The sequence below is a fragment of the Homo sapiens genome, chromosome 6 (assembly GCF_000001405.40).
Source record: "Homo sapiens chromosome 6, GRCh38.p14 Primary Assembly".
NCBI classification, from domain to species: domain Eukaryota; kingdom Metazoa; phylum Chordata; class Mammalia; order Primates; family Hominidae; genus Homo; species Homo sapiens.
Window position 1 is genome coordinate 164,033,394 of NC_000006.12, and position 26,096 is coordinate 164,059,489.

Below are 26,096 nucleotides of genomic sequence, written 5' to 3' on the forward strand. Positions count from 1 at the left end.
CATTATTTCTGAGGGCTCTATTCTGTTCCATTGGTCTATATCTCTGTTTTGGTACTAGTACCATGCTGTTTTGGTTACTGTAGCCTTATAGTATAATTTGAAGTCAGGTAGCGTGATGCCTCCAGCTTTGTTCTTTTGGCCTAGGATTGACTTGGCAATGCGGGCTCTTTTTTGGTTCCATATGAACTTTAAAGTAGTTTTTTCCAATTCTGTGAAGAAAGTCATTGGTAGCTTGATGGGGATGGCATTGAATCTATAAATTACCTTGGGCATTATGGCCATTTTCACAATATTGATTCTTCCTACCCATGAGCATGGAATGTTTTTCCATTTGTTTGTATCCTCTTATATTTCAGTGAGCAGTGGTTTGTGGTTCTCCTTGAAGAGGTCCTTCACATCCCTTGTAAGTTGGATTCCTAGGTATTTTATTCTCTTTGAAGCAATTGTGATTGGGAGTTCACTCATGATTTGGCTCTCTGTCTGTTATTGGTGTATAAGAATGCTTGTGATTTTTGCACATTCATTTTGTATCCTGAGACTTTGCTGAAGTTGCTTATCAGCTTAAGGAGATTTTGGGCTGAGACGATGGGGTTTTCTAGATACACAATCACGTCATCTGCAAACAGGGACAATTTGACTTCCTCTTTTCCTAATCGAATACCCTTTATTTCCTTCTCCTGCCTGATTGCCCTGGCCAGAACTTCCAACACTATGTTGAATAGGAGTGGTGAGAGAGGGCGTCCCTGTCTTGTGCCAGTTTTCAAAGGGAATGCTTTCAGTTTTTGCCCATTCAGTATGATATTGGCTGTGGGTTTGTCATAGATAGCTCTTATTATTTTGAGATACATCCCATCAATACCTAATTTATTGAGAGTTTTTAGCATAAAGGGCTGTTGAATTTTGTCAAAGCCTTTTCTGCACCTATTGAGATAATCATGTGGTTTTTATCGTTGGTTCTGTGTATATGCTGGATTACGTTTACTGATTTGCATATGTTGAACCAACGTTGCATCCCAGGGATGAAGCCCACTTGATCATGGTGGATAAGCTTTTTGATGTGCTGCTGGGTTCGTTTTTCTTTATAAATTACCCAGTCTCAGGTATTTCTTTATAGCAACATGAGAATAGACCAATATAATCTTACTAACTACTTGAAACTCCCCATAATAGAAGCATTGTTGTTTTTATTCAAGAGACAATGGAAACAAGGATAACAGAAGTTAGGTTTCCAAAGGTAGATACCAAGTGAGCTGCAGAACTGGTTTTCAAACTCTTTTTGCTTCTCTGTAGCTTTTTAATTTCTCTTCCCTTGGTTTCCCTTATCTCCTTTTCACTCATCCAAATATGATCTAATTATCTTAAAGCTGTACTTTAATAAAACCATTCTGGAATTCTTCAGCTCCCTTTGATTTTCCCCTTCTCTGGCAGCTTACATCATTTGGAGTCATCACTGTATCAGTCTCTGTTTCTGGCATGAAAATGACCATTTTCATCCTCATGGTAGATGGCTCACATAACCCCTCTTTGTGTGTCCTGCTACTTGATGGACGTTATGGCCTTGCTCATTCCAAAGTTATTACTGTGCCCATGCCAGATGCCACGTGATATCAACAAGGAGAAACCAGAAGAGATGAGTTTAAAATGAGAGTGAGAGCAGATTTCTTGGGCATCTAAAGGAGCATAAGTCAAACTAGGATAGAGTGAACTTAATCTTTTTTAGGAGCCAAGAAAAATGATTCCAGACTGAGAGAAATAACCCGGATCCTTCAGAGATCCATGCTAAAGGCAAGAAGGAACCAATAGGAATTGTCCTCAAAGTCTAAACTCTTTATTTTTCTTTTTTTTCTTCCTTCCTTCCTTCCTTCCTTCCTTCCTTCCTTCCTTCCTTCCTTCCCTCTCTGTCTCTTTCTTTTTCTTTTTGAGACAGAGTCTCACTGTGTCGCTCAGGCTGGAGGTCAATGGTGCAATAACAGCTCACTGCAGCCTTGACCTCCGGGGTTCAGCAGATCCTCCCACCTCAGCGTCCCAGTATAGGGACTACAGATCTGCACCACCCTGTCCAGCTAACAGCCCATTTTTAAAATTTTTTGCAGAGATGGGGGAGGGGGGTCTTACTATATTGCCCAGGCTGGTCTTGAATTTCCGGCCTCCAGCTATCCTCCTGCCTCAGCCTCCCAAAGTGCTGGGATGCTAAGTGTGAGCTACTAGGCCAGCTGGATGTTCTTTACATAGGTCTAGTTTATGTAGGTCTAGTTACTTTAGGTAGGTCTAGTTTTTGAAATTGTAGCACACTTACTCCTCCCCAAGCACAGCAACATAGTGGGAAAAAATAAGAATATTTACGGCCTGGAGCTCTGTTGTGATGATTTATCACACTTCTGAGAATGGCCAGAAGAATTAAGGGCCAGGCCTAGAAAGGTGAGCTGGACTCCCAGAGCCACAGTGGTCAGGGTCAGGCATCTTCATCCCTCCACTTGCCCTGTGAGGAGCATTTTGTAATTACTTAGAATGCTGTGTGAGAACATGTAAGATACAAGTTCTTTTCATGTCATCAAAGGTGCCACTATTTTAGAGGTTACCAGGTGTCCAAAAATATAGGATGCACTTAATGCAATCTTTCCGTATAATGTAATCAGGGAGTGTGAGGAGTGTCTTGCTCTATTAAAGAACAGTGAAGCATGGGTCAAGACAGTCAAGCTGTTTTACTGCATCTAACTGTTCAGACTTCAGGAGGCCTTGGGAATCCGTGGTTGGATTTCATGAGTCACAGGTTTTATTACCTGTTCAACAGGTATTTTAAATAGCACTTGTTTTCCCTTTCATGTCAAACAGAAAATGAAATAAGCAGCTTTGAAAATGGTTACTTGGAGAGACAAAGGGAAGTGTCATGATGTCATCCTTTAAATTGGTTCAAAGAGATGCTGAGGGCAAACAGAGCCACTTGTCGGAGTCACAGGGGAGCAATAGAGATGAGGCTGTCGCACGAATGCTGTCCCTTGTAGGACAGAATTCAGATTACAGGGCAAGTACTAGATAGGCTAAGTAGACTGCCATTCGATATCAGGCAGCTGAGCTCTGTGTTTTAACACACTGCCTCTTTTAATGGGGTCCCTGGAGAATGTCTTCATGGCTGACCAAAAGCTAGAGGTAGCACACACTCTCTGGAGGCCTTATTTAATCTCCCTGTGTGATGTAGAGAAATCCATAGGCATTGCCAAGGAAACTACGATATTTGCAAGTTTCTACCAGACAGCAAGATTTCAGAGGAAACTGTTATAATTGGCATTTCTGAATAATGCTGGGGAAGGGAACAATCACCAGGAATGTGGTGAATTTGTCAACGACTCCTATGATATCAAGGCCTGCAGAAAGCTGAGATTTCATTTTTAGTATTGATTAAAAGCTCTACCCAGGCATTATTAAAAGGAAAGGAAATTCTGAGGGAAAAGCTCCTTTTCTCATTGAGAAGTGTTTTAGGATACAGTATTAACATGAAAATGATGATGAGAACAGTAGTAATAATAACAGCTAGAGAATTTATATATATTTTTTCTTTCTTCAAAATTTGATTATGGAAACCACAAGACAGGAAGTTGAATTCCTTTCTGGTAAGAATATATCAAATAGATGTCAAATAGATTTGATGCAGATTATAACAAAAAAGGAAGGGAATGCATATTAATTAAGCACTTACTGTGTGCTCAGTGCAGACAGATGTTTGACCTGCGTTAATGTATTTGATCTCTTTCCTGAATTTGGGATTGTAAAGGGGTTGTCAGAGAGACAGTTATTAGTTAAGATGGACCTCAACATTGAAATATGCTTTTGCCTTTGTGGCTATCCAGGGACCAGTGAAAACAATGCATGTGTCTTCCCTAGCATTGGGTCAAATTCAGCTGTTGCTTCTCACACACCGGACAGGATGCCGTGTAGCCCTCTGGTCTACCTCCTTTGAGACCACTGAGCGTGAGACAAGACTCAAAGTTAAGCAGAGGCCCGATCTGCAGGAAGGAAGCCGCTGGACCGCTGGTATTACAATCATCCCCTTCTGACCATGAACTGGCTTTTGATGAGTGTCGTTAGCCTTTGCTCAGAAGGAAAAAAAAAAGAGGTTTTTTTTTTAAACCATGAACAGACAGAAACATTTTACAGAAGTCCACTTTTGGTAAATGATCTCCTGGATCAGCAAGTAATCTCGACATCTTTCATATCATTTTTATACAAGATAAAGCTGTTTGAAGAGTTTAAGATGAAAATTGGGTGAAGTTCTGCGTTAAGCTTAGTAATGACATATCCAGAGCCACTGCAATCCCTAGATAATGAGGAAATAATAGGAGTGTGGAGGCAGTAAAGGATTCCAAGATTTGTTTCTTGTGTTCTAGAAAAGACTGAGAGCCTTTTAGGGAGATGGATGAGAGCTCACTGTGGGCTTATGGGCTGGCAGGAGCTGAGCCCTCGAGGGAAGCAGACTGGACCCCCTCCATGTGTGAACACAGAGACAGGCTTATTAGCACCAGGGCAGGTGGGTGCCACAGGACGTTTATTTTTTAAATGAAACAGATTAAAATGTTTTCCCAGAAGAACAGACTTCTGAGCTAGGTTTATGGAGAGTGGCTCTGGGTGCAGCCAAAGGGGTTACAGACCCCCTTCCCCCACCCACCACCATGTGCGCCAGGCTGGTTTCGGGGCTCTGACTCCCAGGTAGAGGAGCTTCTATCGGTGGCTGCAGGCCTGGGAGAGGTGGGCAGGGATGGGCCTAACGGTCTAAAGTCGAGGTGTAGAGAAAACCCTGGAAGGGGGGTCTGAAGTGTTCTGCTGGTGACTATGGGCAGGCAGAGATCAGTGGAGCAGTGGGAGGACAGAGATGGGGGCCAGACTCACCTCCATTTCTGGAGAGGTATTCCAAGCATTGAAATTCCTTCCTAATGAAGCTGGTACACCATTACTAACGAGATACTTTATTTTTGGGGGGATAAATGGGGATCAGAAGAGCTCAATACTAAGAAATTCAAAAAGCAAATTTCTTGGTCAACGTGGTGAGACCCCATCTCTACTAAAAATACAAAAATTAGTCGGGCATGGTGGCAGGCGCCTGTATCCCAGCCACTCGGGAGACTGAGGAGAATTGCTTGAACCCTGGAGGTGGAGGTTGCACTGTGCTGAGATCGCGCCATCACACTCCAGCCTGGGTGACAGAGCGAGACTCCATCTTAAAAAAAAAGCAAATTTCTGTGGTAGGTCCAGCTATGTAAATTGTGGGGCCCAATAAAAAAATGAAAATACAGGGCCTGCCTGTTGTTCAAAAAGCAGAAGGAAAGTACCATTACAGGTACTAAAATATGCATTTTTCTGTTTAAAATATTTTATTACTTATAAACATAATACTAACAGTGATACATGAGTAACAGCATGAACTTACAAATTGTGAAAAAATACTTTTGTTTCATAGTTTTACAGAGCATGATAAGTAACAATACTTTGTTAATGTGCTGTTTTGATTGATCATATGATTTTTCCTGCTCTATTTTCTGGAACCTTATTTATTAGATCATTGAAATTTATACTTTTAGTAACCTCATTTTCATTACATATGATTGAGAATGTTATCATTTGCTCTTGGAAAATGCAAGATCACACATAATTTTTTATTTTAATTTTGAGAAGGATCTTTCTGCTGATGCAATTATTACAGTAGCTGTTAAGAATATTTAGTAAGCTTTAACTCCATTGAGATAAAATTTTTGATAAATCATCCCAAAATACAAATTTTAGCATGGAGTTGATGATTATCTTTGAACAATTTTTCTAAAAGGATTTAACTCTTCATACAGATCAGGTTTTTGCAAATCTGAATTTAAGTGTAAATTTGTAAAATAACCATTTTAATGTCATTCTTCTGATATTGTCTGTAATTGGGGGCAGTTGTTTGAGAAATGGATAGTGGCTTCATGACTTGCATGTAATTTAAAATGCCTGTTTGCGGTGGCTCACGCCTGTAATCCCAGCACTTTGGGAGGCCGAGGCGGGCGGATCATGAGGTCAGGAGATTGAGACCATCCTGGCTAACACGGTGAAAGCCTGTCTCTACTAAAAAATAGAAAAAAATTGCCAGGCGTGGTGGTGGGCGTCTGTAGTCCCAGCTACTCGGGAGGCTGAGGCAGGAGAATGGCGTGAACCCAGGAGGCAGAGCTTGCAGTGAGCCGAGATCACGCCACTGCACTCCAGCCTGGGCGACAGAGCGATACTCTGTCTCAAAATAAATAAATAAATAAAAATAAAGAAGAAAACATTTGTCTTCCTTATTCATAACTGGTTTAGCTGAAGCTGCATAGGAAAACAGTGTTCTTTTCCATCAGATGTAAACATATTTAAATTTAATTTCTAAGAAAGATTATTCGTGCTGTATATCTGTAGACATTTGTTTTGCAGTGTTGTGCTAGCTTTCAAAACCAGAGATTCAAAACTCTTTAAAGAGTTTTCAAGCTTCATGGTGATGCCCACGCATGCACTTTTACTTTGTAATAATCTACTGACAGGTCTCGCTGGCTGCGCACTGGTAGTTCCTGTAGCGGAGCTCAGGCTGGAAAGCCAGTGGCAGAGGCTTTGCAAGGACGGGCTCCAGGTAGTGACGGCAACCAGCCCCCTCCACGTGTCCTGGCTCTGTCCTCGCGCAAAGCACCTCTCCTCTCCTGTGGCTGTGGCTGCCGCTATAGCTGCCATCTCTGCCACCAGCCCGGGTGCAGGTCACAGCTCCTCCGCCCGGTGGAGGCCCCGCAACACCGAGCAGCACCAAGGATTGGGTTCTGCTGTCTGCGCATGCGCCTTCACAGGGCTTGCGGGCTTGATCTTGCGCATGCGCAGGCCTCTGCTAGGCTAGGGCCACCTGGTGCTTCCCACCACGTCTTGCAGGCGCCCAGCTCAGTTCTCCTTCACTTGCAAAATTCAAGTTAAAAGATAAGACTAGTTCAAGACAAGGCAGCAGAGCATTCAGCCAAGCATAGGGGCCTGTGCCACTGCATTGATTGCACACCCAAGAAGCCAGCCCTATCAGGCAGGCAGGATCACCTGGGTGTCTGGAATAATTTCCCTTTTTGGAGAAACATATTCTTTAAGATGCAGGTGGAAAGCATGGAGAAGGACATCTGTGGAGGGCTTCCGAGTGGGGAATTATAAAAAGAGCGTCGGAGAGCAACTGAAATGAAGAGACTATGTTCAGATACATGGCCTAGGAGCCACTGATTAGAATTACACCTTTTTTTTTCCATAAACCACAATCACAATGTATTGTCAACACTTTCCACTTTGAGTTTCTTAAAAGAGGAGTTAGAAGTTGAAGATATTTCTAATGCCTTAAAGAAATTGAGCTTTTCCTTCCCTGATATTTCATACTTGCCTTTTCCTTACCTTATTTTAAAGCACCTATTTTTAGTGACTCAGCTTTGTAGTAATTTCTAGAACATTCAATTTGGTTTCTGGTGAGTTGGTTAAATGGAAATTGGTTAAGAAAGATTCCTCCACTGTCTACAGTGGGGGGACACATATTTATCTCCCAATGTCTTTTTATGAAGGTCTGTGCCCAATAACATTCACAGATGATTATTTTTGCTAAACTTAAAAGATGAACAACTGAGTTAAATAGTCCTCTTGTTCTATCTTTGATGATTCAGACATCTTTCCTCTTTCATTCTTTCTCATTCTACTTCGTTAACTTCCCGAATGCTTAGAAGCTCATCTATGGGAGAGTGAGATGCATATGAAATGGCTTTTCTGTTGGAAGAGTGCCCCACTAAGCCTGTGACATCATCCTGTGTGTGTGCCTGATCTGAGGACTTTACATTAAAATAATTTAATTTGGTGATGGTATTACCTGGCATTTGTTTGAGCTGAGTGGATTACAGGCTCTTCTTCTTCTAGCTAGTCTAAATTTTATTCTTGAACCAAACCAGCAGGTGAGTATTTAGAGTGCATTGTTTTAGTTCATAGTTGACTTGTTCCTATGAAATGGTGCTTTGGTGTCATGTCATTGGTACAAATTGATTGACCTCAAAAGAAATACTAGCAAACTATTTTTGCATTTATTATAGAGATTTTTTGGGACATCGTTCAATAAATCCTAAGTGTCTTTTTTATGAGGGTCCAAAATTTAAATCTCTTTATCATCATAGTGTTAGAAAAAAAGTTGTATTTATTTCAAGCAACTATTTCTTTGTATCTTGTCTGCTAGGATACTCAGAGTCACATCTTCTACCACCCTCTTTTTTTTTTGAGATGGAGTCTCACTCTGTTGCCCAGGCTGGAGTGCAGGGGCATGATCTCACCTCACTCCAACCTTTGCCTCCAAGGTTCAAGTGATCCTCCTGCCTCAGCCTCTGAGTAGCTGGGATTACAGGTATATGCCACCATGCCTGGTGAAGTCTACCATCTTATAATGACTGCATAGAAATACAAGGAATGAATACATTGACTTCACTTCTTTTTTTCCCTACTTATGTTTTTTCTTTACTCTGGTTTATGTTTATTTTTAAAAACCTTGCTATTACTTGTGTAATGATATAAATCATGTCAAACCATTGTTGTAATAGAGTGGAATTGAAACACATGAGCACAAACCCTCTGAAGAACTCATAAACCCTTTCATCTACTTACTTCATCTTCATGTGCTTAGTTGAATGATCAAGCATTCCTAAGGAGAGAGGCCTGTTTTCCCTGATGTTGGCAACTACAATTTCTTACAGCCAGATGGTACACATCTCAAAACATGGCCTTTCAAACACTCTGCTCATGAAGCTGAGGGAGAGGAAAGGAAAATTTATTGAGAGAGTCATAGCTTCAATCCACAGAGACAAAAGTATTGGTGTCATCAAATGCTGCACAGCCTAAAACTCTCTGAGGGCCCACGAGTCTGGCCTGGTGCCACAATAAGCCAACCGTTACCGTAGGGGAAATTCAGTGTGTCTGACAACATTTCCCACTCTAGTTCATATGCTCATGGTGTTCTTGGGGCGGCCATCCAGGCCTCAAGCCAAAATGAGGTTTCCCCACTGTGGCCACATCTCTTGATAGAATTCAGAGGTTCTGATAAGGTGCATATCTTCAGTCTGCAGACGTCCTCCCTATGTCACTGTGGTCATGCAAAGTGCTATCAATGTATTATGGTTAACATTTTGTGAAGAAAACTTTTTTGGATCACCTGCTATTACAGGCCCTGCTGAGGCCTGGGCCCAAAGGCTTTGTATTTCAGCATAGCCAGCTTGCTTTAATGCTCTATTTCCCAGCAGTTTCAAACTCACAAAGATGGCCAACAGTGGCAGATGGGACCTGACGCTTGAACTTGGGGAGCTTTCCTCCAACAGGATGAATCCATGGAAGATACCAGGCACATTCTCAAAAGAACAGAAGTTTAGCTGGTGGAAATGAGAGTAGGGTGGATGTAAGTTAAAATTGTTGATAAGTAAATACCCTGATTGGGTATTCCTGTCAGGTGCTGCTGTAAAAAATCTCTTAAAACACTGGGTGAAGTGGATAAATGGATTCCATTTAACAGAGCATTTACTGGGGTCTATTAGCTGACTATTACCTTAATGATTATATTATAGGCGGCAATGGGGCTGTCATCATAAAAGATGAAAATGATCAAGGAGAAAGAAGTATGAGCTCAGAAGAGGATGCAGCAATGTGATGAGACAGAGTTGTGCCTGTTGGCCTCCTTCAGTGAGAAGGCTGCATCTGAAATTATCACTGAAGCAGGAAAAACAGTGTCCTTATTCTTTTTGTTTATCCAAAAATGCAATAGCACACTGATGCATATGGAACCTGGGGCTATGAGAATTGTAAAAATTGACCTGGGATAGTTGTGTTGGGGTTATCAAACAGAATGCTGGTATTGGGAGGATCCTGGGACACATGGAGGTGTTAGATCAATTGGGGACTGTGGACTTCTTGTTTCCAGGTGAACCTTTTGAGGTGGGTGTGAGGGGTTGGTAAAACTTGAACTTGACCTTCCAGTGAGTCCAAATGGCTTTGACAAACATGTGGTGGGCAAGGCCTAAGAACAGAGAGTGAAATAACTAGGGAGCCCCAATGAAGTAGGAGAGTTAGATGTGCTCATGTCTCGGAAAGTAAGATGTCGAGGAGCCTCTAAGCAGGTGGTCCATGGTCTCATGTGGCCAGAGACTCAGAGCAGGGGATGGCATCTTGAAGGAGCAGAGAAAAGCTGAATGGGTCACAGAGACACTGGCAGACAATGAGGATGTGCAAAGTTGCCAATACATGGTGATATGGTTTGGCTCTGTGTCCCCAACCAAATCTCATCTTGTAGCTCCCATAATTCCCACATGTTGGGGGAGGGACCTGGTGAGAGACGATTGAATTATTAGGGTGGGTCTTTCCTGTGTTGTTTTTGTGATAGTGAATGGGTCTCACGAGATCTGATGGTTTTAAAAATGGGAGTTTCCCTGTACAAGCTTCTTCTCTCTTGCCGCCGCCATGTAAGAAGTGCCTTTCACCTTATTATGTTTTTGAGACAGAGTCTCACTCTGTTACCCAGACTATAGTGCAGTGACACAATCATAGTTCACTGCAGCCTCAACCTCCTAGGCTCAAGCGATCCTCCCACCTTAGCCTCCCAAGTAGTTAGGACTACAGGTATAGGCCACCACACCTGGCTAATTATTTTATTTTTTAGTTTTTCATAGATGGGGGTTTTACTTTGTTTGTAATGTTGTTCAGTTCATTCCTGAATGGAATCTTACAGATTGCCTTCCCTTTTTTTTTTTTGCTTTCCTAGAGAGACTTATACCTGTTTTTTACCAACCAAATTTTATAATTTTATGTTATAATAATTTTTATCTTTTCACTTGAATTCATTTGTAAAGAAAAAAGACTTGAAGGAAATGCACTATACTATGTTATTAGTGATTATCCCTGAAGGGTTAGCATGATGGTGGCCTCTCCAGTCTTCTGTATTGTTTAAATTGTCATCATAGAACACTTACTACTTTTATCATCAGATCTAATTGATGAATGCTATTTTTAAATTTTGTCTAAAAGTGACTATTCCTCTAATATCTTTTTTAAAACCATTAAACTTTCAGCTTCCTTCAATGCATGTACATACCCTTGTTGAAAAAAAAAGCTATAAAAAATTAAAAGCCTTCAGAGATTTGTCATTTATTTATACATGGCATTAGTGTCCACATTATACCAGAGATCACATACTCTCAGAATCATTCTGTACAGTGCCTAGTTGACTACCTGTATTCAAATACCAAGGAACAAAGTAAAATAAATTTCTATTCCTTTTTCATTTCTGTTTTCCATAGACAGTTTTATAAAGGTATAAGCAGCTAAGAATATATGTATATTGTGCAAATACATAACATTTTTAGGATATATTTTTGTGTAGTCACCTTACAAGTCTTTAAAGTATTTTTTCCAGCAATCCTGAATCAATTCTGTATGGGAACAAAAAGGAAGGAAAAATTTAGGTAAAGTGCTTTAACTCTTCATATGGTGATGCCTGTAGCTCTGGCCTATTCTATAATCGGGCTGTGTACTACATGTATCTTAGATAGGACTATTTATTGTGTTCCATTGTTGGGGTGCAGTTGGCAGTTTCAGCAGCTATTCAAATGTCTTCATATTAGAAGCATCTCACATGGAGCTCATGAAGGTGGTCCTTTGCCTGGTGTATTAGTCCCTTCTCACATTGCTATAACAAACTACCTGAGACTGGGTAATTTATAAAGAATAGAGGTTTAATTGACTCACAGTTCCTCAGGCTGTACAGGAAGCATGGCTGGGGAGGCCTCAGGAAACTTACAATAGTGGAAGGCAGAGAGGAAGCAGGCATGTGCTACATCACTTGAGCAGGAGGAAGAGAGAGTGAAGGGGGAGGTGCTACACATTTTTGAACAACCAGATCTTGTGTGATCTCACTCACCATCATGGGAACAGCAAAGGGGAAATCCTCCCCATGATCCAGTGACCTCCCACCAGGCCGCTCCTCCAACACTGGGGATTCCAATTCCACCTGAGATCTGGGCAGGGACACACATTCAAACCATATCACCTGGTAAGTAGGAAATATGCTAGTGTTTGACAGTATGACTATAGTGTGCAGAGGGACTTTCAGTCATTAAAATCATGAAGGAGTCTATACCAGAAAGTGTAACTTAAATTTTTTATAATTTGCATTTTAAGAAATTAAATGCCTGGAGAAGAAAAAAAGCAGTTTTCTTCAATATATTAGAGTGATAGTATACTGGAGGTGAAGGGAAGTTAGTTAATATTTAGTCAAATCTCCTTATTTTACGATTTTAAGGAAAAGGTTGAGAGTTAAGCAAATGGAAAAAGATTGCCAAAATTAGCACATGATATAAAACTGAAGAAATTTAGGAAAGTATTCAAAAATTAAAGAAAGTGTTTCTTGAGAAAATTTTTCAGAAAAAGAACAGAAAAAAACATTTTAATATCCTGGTTGGTGCTTTGGTGGGGGGTTATTTAAGAAATCTTTTTATTTCCCAAGATCATAATGATATTCTGTTTTCTTTTCTCTTAGAAACATTGTTTCAAGATTTTATATTTAGGTCCCTGATTTCTCTCAAATTATTACTCTATTTTTGAGACAGAGTCTCACTCTGTTACCCAGACTATAGTACAGTAGCACAATCATAGCTCACTGCAGCCTCAACCTCCTAGGCTCCAGCAATCCTCCCACTTTGGCCCCTCAAGTAGCTAGGACTACAGGTACAGGCCACCACACCTGGCTAATTATTTTATTTTTTAATTGTTTGTAGATGGGGGTCTTACTGTGTTACCCAGGCTGGTCTTGAGTTCCTGACCTCAAGTGGTCTTCCCACCTTGGCCTCCCTAAGTGCTGAGATTACAGGGTGAGCCACCACTCCCAGCCTTAAATTAATTTTTTGTATGGTGTAAAGTAGGGGGATTGCCATTTTATTTTACATTGAATTAATGGATTTCTACTTATTGAAAAGATCATCTCTTCTGTAATGAATTGCAGTGGAGTCTGTTTCATAAATCATGTGATGTATAAATTTGAGACTGTTTTTGACTCCGTTTTGTCTATTACATTGGTCTATTTATCCAGTTTCGCCCCAGCATAGCACTGTATTGTTACAAGGGCTATACATCTCCAGCCTTATTCTTCATTAGCATTGGCTTGGCTATCCTAGTTCCTTCCAATTAATATATAAATTTTAAAATCAGCTTGCCAATTTCTATAAAATAAATATTGTGGAATTCTGATTAGGATTGCATTGAATCTTTGGGTTCAAATATCCAAAGATTTCTATTTATTTGTTATTACTTGCTTTGCACTACAATTATTTATTTGCCATAGTTTGTATGTCATGTGTCTGATATAACTGATCACATATGTGGGTGCATTAACCTGGCCATCCACTTGGACATGTTTAAATTTTTTTTTACTGGCCGTATTGAGGTAGACTTGACAAAAATTATATATATTTAAGGTGTGCAACATAGTGTTTTGATATAGGCATACATTGTGAAATGATTACCATAATTAAGCTAATTATGTATTTGTATATATCTATATCTAGATAACCTTATATAGTTACAACTTTTCGATTGTGTGGTAAGAACACTTTAGATCAACTCTCTTAGCAAATTTCAAGTATGTAGTACAGTATTATTAACTATAGTCACCATGCTGTATATTAGATCTCCAGAATTTATTCTTCCCACCTAACTGAATCTTTGTATTCTTTAAACAACATTGATTTATTCTCCATGAATGTGGTATGTCTTTTTCTCTTATTTAGATAATCATTTCTTTCTCTTAGCTGTGTTTTTGAGGATTTAGTGTTGATGTCATGGACATTTTTATTCAAATTATTTAATTTTTGATGCGATTGTAAATGGTATTTAAAATTTTACTTTCCACATGTTTATGGTTACTATATAGAAATATATACATTTTTGTATAATTGACCTTTTATTCAACAACCTTCTATTCATATCATTTTTATTAAATTGCTCATAGATTCTTTTAACTTTCTACATGTATAAGTTTGCTGGGGTGGTGGGGCCCTCATGGAGAGCCTCTGTTAGGGTAGGGTGGAAGGGAAATGTGGGGTTCGAGCCCCCATCCAGAGTCCCAATTGGAGCACTGCCTAGTGGAGCTGTGAGAAGAAGGCCACCATCCTCCAGACCCCAGAATGGTAGATCCACCAATAGCTTGCATCATGCTCCTGGAAAAGCTGCAGACACTCAACACCAGCTTGTGAAAGCAGCCAGGAGTGGGGCTATACCCTGCAAAGCCACAGGGGCAGAGCTTCTCAAGGCTGTGGGAACCCACCTCTTTCATCAGTGTGACCTGCATGTTAGACATGGAGTCAAAGGAGATCATTTTGGAGCTTTATGATTTGATTGCCCTGCTGGATTTTGGACTTGCACAGGACTTGTAGCCCCTTTGTTTTGGGCAATTTCTCCCATTTGGAATGGCTGTATTTACCCAGTGCCTGTACCCCCATTGTATTTAGGAAGTAGTTAACTTTTTTTACAGGCTCATAGGCAGAAGGGATGTCTCAGATGAGACTTTGGACTGTGGACTTTTGAGTTAATGCTGAAATGAGTTAAGACTTTTGGGGACTGTTGGGAAGGCATGATTGGTTTTGAAATATGAGGATATGATATTTGGGAGGGGCCAGGGGTGGAATGATATGGTTTGGTTGTGTCCCCACCCAAATCTCATCTTGAATTTTATGTGTTGTGGAAGGGACCTGGTGGGAGATAATTGAATCATGGGGGCAGATCTTTCCTGTGCTGTTCTCATGAGAGTGAGTAAGTCTCATAACATCTGATGGCTTTAAGAATGGGAGTTTGCCTGCATAAGCTCTCTCTTTGCCTGCTGCCATCCACGTAAGATGTGACTTGCTTCTCCTTGCTTTCTGCCATGATTGTGAGGCTTCCTCAGCCACGTGGAACTATGAGTTCTCCATTAAACTTCTTTCCTTTGTAAATTACTTAGACTTGGGTATGTCTCTATCAGCAGTGTGCAAACTGACTAATACAAGCATTATGAAAGCTGTTGGGATTTTTTGTAGATAACCTTTATTAGATTACAGAAGTTTCCTTCTATTCCTAGTTTGCTGACTCAAAAAAAAAATAAGAGTTGTTGAATTTTATCAAGTACTTTGATAAGTTGGGCGTAATTTGAAATTAAGAACTTTTGTTGACCAAATGTATCATTGAGATTGTAAAAAGACAAGCCATTGGCAGGGGTCATATATTTACAATGCATGTAGCTGACAAAGACTTACAAGAAAAGACATATAGCCCAAACAAAATGGGAAAAAACAGTTTCAAAGAGCTTCCACTCGGCAAAACAGATAGAATTTGTGCAACAAAAGTTTTTAGAAAGACCTGGTTTTACCCAAAGAACAAAATAAATATCTATGAGCCCATACTGATATCAATAAATTATTAAATAAAAATTAGTGAGAAGGAACAAATATTTCTCACAGAAGAATTACAAATAATATTCTCCCCTCCAGGAGGTTGAGCTTGATTTCGCTTCCCTTGAGTGTGGATTGCACATAGTGACTCACTCCAAAGAAGAGATAATGCAAAAGGAAATTAGCAGTGTGGAACCATATTAACCAAGTGATGAAAGTTTACTCACTAGTGATAAGTCACGTCAATATTAGTTATCCTCTGAAATGACGCAATGAGATGGGCATTTCACCTCTATGGTTCTCTACTGAGAGAGTTACCTTAGAGATCAAGGTAGAGTTTGATCATGCAGGGGCTTTGAAACACAGTAATGATTGCTGGTTTTGTTTGAAAATCAACAGAGAGACATTCAGGAGAAACCAACTGAGATGTTTGCAGGAGCACAGGAAGCAAAGAGAGAGGGCAGAAAGCTCGGTGTTCGGGGCAGGGACCAGCAGCAGGCTAGGACTGAGCAGAGGCAGCAGGGATGGTGTCACACAATCTTCCTCATGCAGGAAAGGTCTCATGCACCCGTACAGATGCCAAGTTTTGTAATCACAGAGGCTAGAAACAAATGCACAGTGAAGTAAAAAAGATCTAAATATGTTGTACAAAATTATTATTTTTTAAATGCCAATTACATATCAATGGAGGCAATATTACTTTAAGATCACGTTTTTCATATGACTGTAATATCCATTACCTCCTAAGTAAGCAATGCTAATATAGAAAGTCATTTTCTCAGTACATACTCTATAATGAAGTGACTCTTAGATGGAATTGCCTCGTTGATTTATTACTGCAACTAGGTGATGAGAAGACTTCCACTGGAAGGCTTTTACAATTTATCAGGTTTTGTTGGTCTAAGGAAGGGTAATTACTTTTCTGGGGTTGATGTGATGTGTGAACCAATACAGGCACTGGGAATATGAGCAATAACCAATCTTCTACTCAGGCAAAATTAAATTGCAATGCATTTACTATATGTAGAATAGACATATACAGTAACAGTTCCAAGGGCTAGTTCCTGAAACATCATAATCTTCAAATTCACAAATGCAATATGATGTATACATTTGTCCTTCCATGCATGTGACAGCCAGGGGCTAGGGGCACTCATTAGTCAAAGGATGTGCTTTCACAACTAGGCTCATATAAAATCGTCCTCTAGAAATTGTAAATCAGTGCATGTCATGACTTTCAAAATGACTCATGAATAATAAAAATCACAAATGCTAACCTTTTAATTCCTAATGTATTTTTAAAATTTGTATGGTGGATCAGACTTCTTTTCTAATCATCAGTCATAAGTTTTTTATATCATTTTGTACTAATAAGACATGAGACTCTTTAGCCTAAAAAACAGAGGACGATGAGGGCACAAAGTAACTGCCTTCAAATATTCAAAATGTCACCATGTGGAAGCTGAAATGGATTTATTGTATAATACTCCAGAAAGTAAAATACACAGCAATAGATAGTGACAATAAGAAAGCAAATTTAGGTCTGTCATAAGAAGGACATCCCTAATAATTATAGTTCAACAATGGGATGGTTGTGTTTTAGGTTTAGGTTTTCTGCAAAGCAATGAACTTCCCATCAATGAGAGAATTCAAATAGAGGCTCAGTTCAACGTCAGAGAGAAGATGGAAGTGATTCCTACATTAGGTGCAGGTTGGACTAGATTACCTAGGAAATGACTTAACAGTCTAAGCATGTGTGTTGGGTGATGTATAATACTGATATATCAAAGTTCTAGGTAAGATTTCTGGCACTTATAAAATTTATTAAATGAATGAATGTCTTTATACATTTTTAGTGATACATTTTGAAAAGTCTTATGTCAGAGAGCATTTCTTAGGGAAAATGAAAGATGTTTCTAAACCTCCTGAGCCCCATGAGCATGAAAGAACTTGTTTCAGTACTGTGTGTTTTCAAATCCCTTTTATCCCATCAACATTAAAAATCATAAGGCTGTTAAGAATTGAGATGGGGTTTAAGATGATGAAGCGAGTTGTAGTGAACAGTTGCTAGTTGGTCTATCTGGGATCCCTCTCCTCTTTTTCTTTTCTGATAAGAGCCCCCTCTTCTCCTTTGTGGAAACTATTTTTTCTCTCATTTTATCTATGTGTTTCTATTCCAATCCTAATTGAAATAAATTGTCATACACAGAATTGAATTGAGAAATGCAATGAAATAGATTGCATTATGTTCCACTGAATGCAATCTATTTTACTGAAGCCCTATTATGTGCCAGGAACTGTGAGTGGGAAGAACTAACAATACAATAGAACCCATGAGAGTCCCTTGTTTTAGTCAGCTTATGGTTAGAGACAAAAAAGACCAAGTAATGGCAATTGAGAGCATGAAAATGCAGATCGGGGGTAGGTACTAGATGCTGAGGGAGCACACAGGGAGGCCCTTGGACCCTCTTGGAGATCAGAGATTCATACAGTTGTGTGGCACAGTTCAGAAAGGCTTATATTCACATGTGTGTCTTGAAATCAAATGTGCCCTGAATAATAATGAAGAGCTAGCCAGATAGACGAGAAGAAAGGATGTTCAAATTGCTTAGGGGCAACATGTCTAAAGCTAAGAGAACATATTTGGGAGGCTTCAGATGTTCTCATTTTCATCTCTCCTGTTGTCTTTGGGTTTCCCTGAGAACTCTTCCTGATTCACGGTTGTTGCCAGAGCACTGTTGGAATGGGGGTGGAGTGGGTGGGAGGGGAAGTGTGCTGTCATCTCATGATTCCATCTAGGTCTCTAGCAGACGTGTCCCCACCTCCAGGTAATATAGGGTGACTCACAGGACGAGTGTCTGGGAGATGCTCTTTCCCAAGGTTGATGAGGCTCAGGTAGACTTTTACCCTGGAGAGCAGGTCTTTGTTGTAGAGAACACTCTGCACGGCAGGCCTTTGTTGTAGAGAATGCTCTGCCATATTTCATAATGGTTACGTTTCCCCTCCCAGGGCCAGAGCCAGGAGGGAACCTTCGGGACTCACGATGAGAACGTGGTGAGGCTCCTGAAGGCAAAATGTGAAAGTGTGGCCCTCCCCTAGGAACACACTCTCCTGACTTTCTCATTCTCAGGCCACTCCATACACAGCCTCTCGTAGCTCATCAAAATTACAATTTTTTTTTTTTGAGACAGTCTCGCCCTGCTGCCCAGGCTGGAGTGCAGTGGCGTGATCTCGGCTCACTGCAACCTCTGCCTCCTGGATTCAAGCAATTATCCTGCCTCAGCCTCCCGAGTAGCTGGGATTACAGGCGCGTGCCACCACGCCTGGCTAGTTTTTATATTTTTAGTAGAGATGGGGTTTCACCATGTTGGCCAGGCTGGTCTTGAACTCCTGACCTCAGATGATCCACCTGCCTCGGCCTCCCAACAAAATTACAATTTAGATGTTCCTACCAGTTTAGGACAAAAGCAGGTTTTGTTCCATGTCAGCAGATCCTGGCTGGAACTCTCTGGATCTGTCTGTTCCTTCAAGTTCTAGGACGGTATAGTTTGCCCTGTGAACTCAGTTTTCTGATGTGTTCAAGAAAATTCACTGATTTTCAGTTTTTTTTTTTAATTGTGTAGATAGCAGTGATGACTTCCAACCTGTTTCCATGTCAGATCTGAAACTGAAAGTATCACAGTGGAATCAAACTAGAAATGTTATCAGGAAAATAATAATAACCTTTGCAAACACTTGGAACCTGAGTAACACCTTTCTAAATCTACAGGTCAAAGAGAGAATCTTGAGGACAAATTTAAAAATATATCAAACTTAATAAAATAAATATAGAACATTTTTCTTCTCTCAGTCAAAGCATTGTTGACAGAAAAATTCACAGCAATTCAGTCATCTAATATCCTACCTCAACAATTCAAAATAAATAGAAAAAAGCCCCAATGCAATCAATAGAAAACAATTACTAATGTTAACAGCATGAATCAATGATATTGAAAACAGAAATAATAGAGAAAATCGATGAAAAAAAAGCTGGCCTTCAGAAATATCAATATAATTGACAAACATCTAGTAAATCTGACAAAGGGAAAAAGAGAAGGCACAAATTGTTTATATCTGAAATAAAACTGGGGATATCACTACCAACCCTGCAGAAATCAACAGGCTAATAATAGAACACTATGAACAGCTTTACACACACAAAACTTAGATGAGTTGAACCAAATCCTTGAAATAACACACACACTATCATAACTCACCCAATATGAAATAGTTACTCTGAATAGGACTATAATTATTAATACAATTGAATACATGATTGAAAAACTCTCCCCAAAAAGAGAGCTGCAAGCTCAGTTGGTTCCACTGAAGAAGAGTTCTACACAGACTCTTCTAGAAAACTGATGAAGAAAGAATACTTTCTAACTAATTTTATAAACCTAATATTACTCTGTGTGATGGTTAATACTGAGTGTCAACTTGACTGCATTGAAGGATGCAAAGAATTGTTCCTGGGTGTGTCTGTGAGGGTGTTGCCAAAGGAGATTAAGATTTAAGTCAGTGGACTGGGAAAGGCAGACTCACCCTCAATCTGGGTGGGCACAATCTAATCAGCCGCCAGCGTGGCCAGAATACAAAGCAGGCAGAAGAACGTGGAAGGACTAGGCAGCTTAGTCTTCTGGCCTCCATCATTCCCCTGTGCTGGATGCTTTCTGCCCTGGAACATCAGACTCCAAGTTCTTCAGCTTTGGGACTCTTGGACCTTTGACCGTAGACTGAAGGCTGCAGTGTTGGCTTCCCTACTTTTGAGATTTTGGGACTTGGGCTGGCTTCCTTGCTCCTCAGCTTGCAGACACAGCCTATTGTGGGACCTCACCTTGTAATTGTGTGAGTCAATACTCCTTAATAAACTCCCCTTTGTATATATATCTATCTTATTATTTCAGTCCCCCTGGAGAACCCTGACTGATACACTCTGCACATTTGTTGAAAATCAATTGACTGTACATGTGTGGGTCTCATTCCATTTCTGTCTTGTTCTATGACCTGTTTGCTATCTTGTTCCCAATGCCACACTGTCCTGAAATCCAGTAGTTTCATTTCATCGATTAGAACCTGCAACCCCATGTTGAACAAAAATGGTGAGAAGGAAATATCTGTGACTTGCTCCTGATCTTCAACCTCTCACCCCTAGGTATGATGCTGTTTATAGTTGTGGGTTTTTGTTTTGTTTTGTAGATGCTGCTTATCCAGCTGAAGACGTTTCCTTCAATTTCTAGTTTGCTGACATTTACTTCATCAGTAATGGTTGTCGGATTTTGTCAAGTGCTTGCTTTTTCTGCATTGATTGGGATGATCATATACTTTTTTTCAGTTTATTAATGTAATAAATTACATTCATTGATTTTTTAAATATTACACCAATCTCATATTACTCAGCTAAATCCGAAGTGGTCATAATGCATTATGCTTTTGATACATTGTTGGATTCAATTTTCTAAAATTGTTAACAATTATTTTTTCATGTATGTCTATGTGTTATATTGGTCTGTAGTTTTCATTTGTTGTAATGTCTTTTTTTAAACAGCTTTGTATTGATCTATATTTGATATATACAAAACTGTACATATTTAATGTATACAATTTGATGAGTTTGGATATATGTATACAACTGTGGAACCACCACAATCAAGGGAAGAGACATATCCAGCACCTCTAGAAACTTCCTCCTCTGCCTTTGTTTTGTTGTTTTTTTGTGGTAAAAACACTTAAAAACTTAAGTGCACAATACAGTGCTGTCAACTTACAGGCACTCTATTGTAGAGCAGATCTCTAGAACTTATTCATGTCACGCAACTGAAACTTTATGTCCATTGAACAACACTCCCCTGTCTGGTTTTAATATGAGGGTAATGGTGGCTTCACTGACTGGGTTGGGAAGTATTCGTTCCTCTGGAATTTTTCTGGGAGAGCTTAAATAAAACTGGTATTATTTCTTCTTTAAAAAATTGGTAGAATTTCACAGTAAGGCAATATGGGCCTGGGGATTTCTTTGTGGAAAGGCTTTCAATTATGAATTCAATTTGTTTAGTAGATAGAGTGCTACTTAGGTTTTCTATTTCTCCTTGTGTGAAGTTTTGATAGTCGCATCTCAAAGAATTTGTCCATTTCATCTAAATTGTCAACTTACTGGAGTGTTTGGATATCCACAGGCCAAAAAAAAAAAAAATGCATCTTGACCTAAACCTTACACTATATACAAAAATTAACTCAAAATAGATCACAGACTTAAATATAAAATGAAAAAATTACAAAGTATTTAGAAAAAAACAGAATCTCCATGATCTAGGGCTAGGTAAAGTATTCTTAGACTTGACACCAAATGGAGTATCCATAAAGGGCAAAATTGGTAAATTTGACTCCATTAAACTAAAGAACTTTTGCTCTTCCAAAGACCTTATTAAGAGGATGAAACATTACAGAAAATATTTTCAGACTGAGAATCTAACAAAGGACTGATCTTAAGAATATATAAGGAACTATTAAAACTCCATAGGAAAGTAAAACAATACAATTAGGACCTAGACATGTCACTGAAGAGGAAATGCAGATAGCAAACACGCATGTAAAAGTATGTTTAACATCACTAGCTATTAGGGAAATGTAAATTAAAACCAAAATCAGATATCTCTGAATGCCTATCAGAATAGCTGAAATTAAAAATAATGACACCACCAAATACTTGCAAGGATGCAGACAAATGGATCACTCCTACATTTCTGATGGTAATGTAAAATGTTTCAGCCACTTTGGAAAAGAATTTGGCAGTTTCTTAAATAACTAAACATACAAGCACCATGTGACCCAACAGTTATCCAAAAAGAATGAAGGTTTATGTTCACATAAAATTTGTACACAAATCTTAATTGTAGCTTTATTCATAACAGCCTCAAATGGGAAACAAATAAGATATTTTTAAATTAGTGAATGTTTAAACAAGCCTTGCTATGTCCAAAACATGGAATACTACTCAACAATGAAAAGGAATAAGCTGTTAATACATGCATGTTAGTATATTGATACATGCAACAACCTTGATGACTCTTCAGAAAATTATGTTGAGAAAATGAAATCAATCTCAAAAAGTTGTATACTATCTAGTACCATTTATAAAACATTCTTGAAATAACAAAATTATCAAAACAGAGAGACACAAGTGTGGTTGCCAGGAGCTAAGGACAGAGGAGAGGGAGAGGGCAGTGAGTGTGGCTTTAAAAGTTCAACATAAGGGATGTTTGTGGTGATGGAAATGTTCTGTATCTTGACTGTATCATTGTCAATATCTGCAAGGTGTTACCACTGGGGGAATTGGGCAAAGGGTATATTGGATCTCCCTGTATTGTTTCTTACAACTGCATGCATATCTACAATTATATACAAATTTAATTAATAGAAACCAAGTCTTGACACATTTGGTGAGAAATAAAAATAGAATGTGTGAAAATATGCTTATTGTTCCAGAGGAACAATAAGGCTTGGTCAGGTAAAATAACCTGTCAAGTCTGGGCCAGAATACATCACTGGCTTTGGGGTACTACTTTAGTTTGAAACTGTTATGAAATTGCCTTCTCCCCTGCCCCTCCATAAGACATGCATTCTGGTGGAAATGTACTTTCCATTTCTTCCTTAAGTTGCACTGAGATAAGCTTGAGGGAGGAGGTTGAAATATGACTGACCTGATTCGTGGCATGAATAGTTTGAGACCCATATGGTTTATTTTAAGGGCATCTCTATTCTTTCTCTTCCCCTGCTGAAAAACAGTCCAACATTAGCCACCCTGCAAATTCTATTTACTTGCCAACCAATGTCTCACTTTTTACGAGACAACTTCCCTCTGAGGTGTGGCCTTATGCTAATGTATAAGAATTTATTTGAAGTCATGGAAAATATTGCTTCTTATATGCCATTCAAAGTGTTAATATGATTAACATGTAAGTGTTCCTTATAGACAACTAATAAAATGATGAATGCAAGTAAGTACTGATGGTATTAGAAGACAATATTTTAGCTTCTTCTCAAGGTGCTTCAAGTATCCTTGAGTTTTAGAGAGAATTTTACCAGGTAGCTTACTGAGGCCCTAATCATAGTATCCTCTAGAATAAAACAGGAATACTTAATTCCTCCTTTCCTGAAAATTGTGAAAATGTGTAATTTCAGAAAAGAAGAAATGCGTGAGGATTGAAATTGGCAACCAATCTTTGAAAGCCTAGTAGACACCCGATGCCTTCAACATGTCTTATATGACCCTTGCCTCCAGCCTGTAAGGTGAGTTTTGTTTTCCCCATGTAGCCTAAACGCACCTACTATAAATCAAAAGTAGAGTTTACATTCCCTTTTTTTTTTAGACGAAGCTTACTAATGTATAAAGTCCCACTGATTTCTTTCTTAGAAGGTAGTTCATAGGCACTCCACCACAAAGTGTCCCTTACGTGTTCCTGAGAGTTCCAGGGAATAAGCAGTGCTCCCTCCCAATCACATTTTCAACAGTTTTGCTCAGCCCACCTTCAGCCACCTTGTCTTGATGTCAAGCTGTGGCCTTTACTGTTGATGATGGTCACTTTCTTGGGTGTGGAAACATGGCTGGCAAGCCTTGCTGATACTTCCATATGAGCCACGGGCTTGCCACTGACGGTCTGTTTTCCAGAGCTCATCCTGCGTTTCTTATGCTCCCCCTGAATTTACCAGGCACCTTTACCTGGGATGCTGGTGGCCCCAGGAATGGGACCCTTCTTAGGCAACACCGTTGTTGCTTTCCTGTAGAGAGGATGGTGCTTTGTTCTGCTGCCAGCTTGTGGCTTGTCATGCGACAGCCAAGGAAGTCCTCCTGCACGACAGAACCATCCCATGCCCTGCTGGCCTCAGGTTCAGCTTAAATACCCCTCCCTCCCTGCCTGCGTTACGGTAGGAGGCCGACTTTCTCCTGGCATGCCTGCTGATTTCCTGCCCCACATTAGATCGCTTCTGGGGTGCCTGACATTCAGAATACTCCTTACTTTCATCAGTCAGGTGATGTTGACCCATGGTTCTATGAGATAATCTCAAAATAATCTAGATTTGGTACGTTCCAGAAATTTGGATTAGTTTGTTTGGTTTGTGGCTGCATAACATACTTACTTGCCCGTTTACCTTGGCACAGGCTTGGAGAGGAGACACTGGAAGCATGAGCTCCTGAGATGACAAAGACTTTACTTTGATTTCACAGTTTAGAGAATCAAGCCATTTCCCTCTGCCTCCTGAGTCACTTTAGTCTGAGCAAGGATAACAAAGTTTAGTGAACCCGAAAGCATATTTAGGAAGCGCTATATTGCGAGGTTGAAGCTGAAAATAAGATTGTTTTATTCAGGGTCAGACCCTATTTACTACAAACCTCATTAATTCTTTGCTTTAGAATAATAAGGGGGCTTGGGCAATGGCCCCACACACATGGGGGTGATCATAGTTGAGGGTTAACAACATGTCTGGGCTTATTCATTTATCTGTTTAGTAATAGCTTTTGTTTCCCCTTATCTAGTTCGCCAATATTAAAAGATAATGGTGACGAATTTATATTTCACTGGATTTAATTTGCTAGATTACTGGTCCCTCAGGACATGTTATAATTGTTATTTTCCAAATAATCGAATGCAAACATCTCAAGATTGTTTAGTTGGGGGCATGGAATTGAAAGTGATCATTTCAAGACAATCTATTTGTAATACAATTTGCAACTACATTATGCCACTTGCTCTAGGAGAACATGGGTAAATTGATTTGCAAGTAAAATATTTGGTAGAATTAATATTAGTGCCATTTTATGTGACTTGTAAAATTCCAGTGTTACTTTAGAGACTGCTTGTGAATGCTAAAATTACTTGTAACTTTTATTAATTAATAGTGAAGCAGAATTGTTGTAGTTGGCTAAAAAATATAGACTTGTTAATTGTGCCCTGTAATTTTTTTTTTTTTTTTTCTGGGATGGACTCTCACTGTGTTGCCCAGGCTGGAGTGCAGTGGTGTGATCTCAGCTCACTGAAACCTCCGCCTCCCGGATTCAAGCAATTCTCTTGCCTCAGCCTCCTGAGTAGCTGGGATTACAGGTACCCTCTATCATGCCCGGGTAATTTAAATACTTTATGGAGCACATATAACTTACGAGAGCAGCATTCTTGCATAAAGTAAACATTAAAACATATCTTCATTTTATGTATTTTATACATGCTTGCCCACGTTGTGTGTTCATGTTTTTATCTTTTTAACCTATTTATATTGGCATTTGAGAATTAGTGTCCTGAATTTGCAAAACTGGAATTTTAATTGAAGTCCAGTTTGTGTAAATCAGATTTACACAGTAGCACTGGCTTCTTGTAATTAGAACGATAAGACTGACATTTTCCTTGGAAAACCACTCATGCTCCATGTTCATCTCTAGTTGCCTATTTTGCTTCTGATAGGGTTTTTACAATTGGAATCCAACATTTGTTCTCATATCACATAAAACTTTGCTTTAGTAAATGCTACACAAAAATTACAAAAAGCCAAAGATGGACTCAGTAGATACTTCCACTTGTATTTAATTTGTGGATGTGTGCAGAGATATGTTATCTCGGGTTTCTAAGGAAA

The 26,096-nt window shown here is 39.5% G+C and overlaps 1 long non-coding RNA gene across 1 annotated transcript in view; it reads left to right on the forward strand.

Annotated features, from left to right (window-relative positions):
* LOC105378102 (uncharacterized) overlaps positions 1-25,573 on the forward strand; it is a 155,467-nt gene extending 129,894 nt beyond the window's left edge. Inside the window, exons 5-6 of the long non-coding RNA XR_943213.4 lie at positions 23,655-23,762; positions 25,476-25,573. This is a non-coding gene — a long non-coding RNA (uncharacterized LOC105378102). The remainder of the gene's footprint in view (positions 1-23,654; positions 23,763-25,475) is intronic.
* The last annotated feature ends 523 nt before the right edge of the window (positions 25,574-26,096 follow it).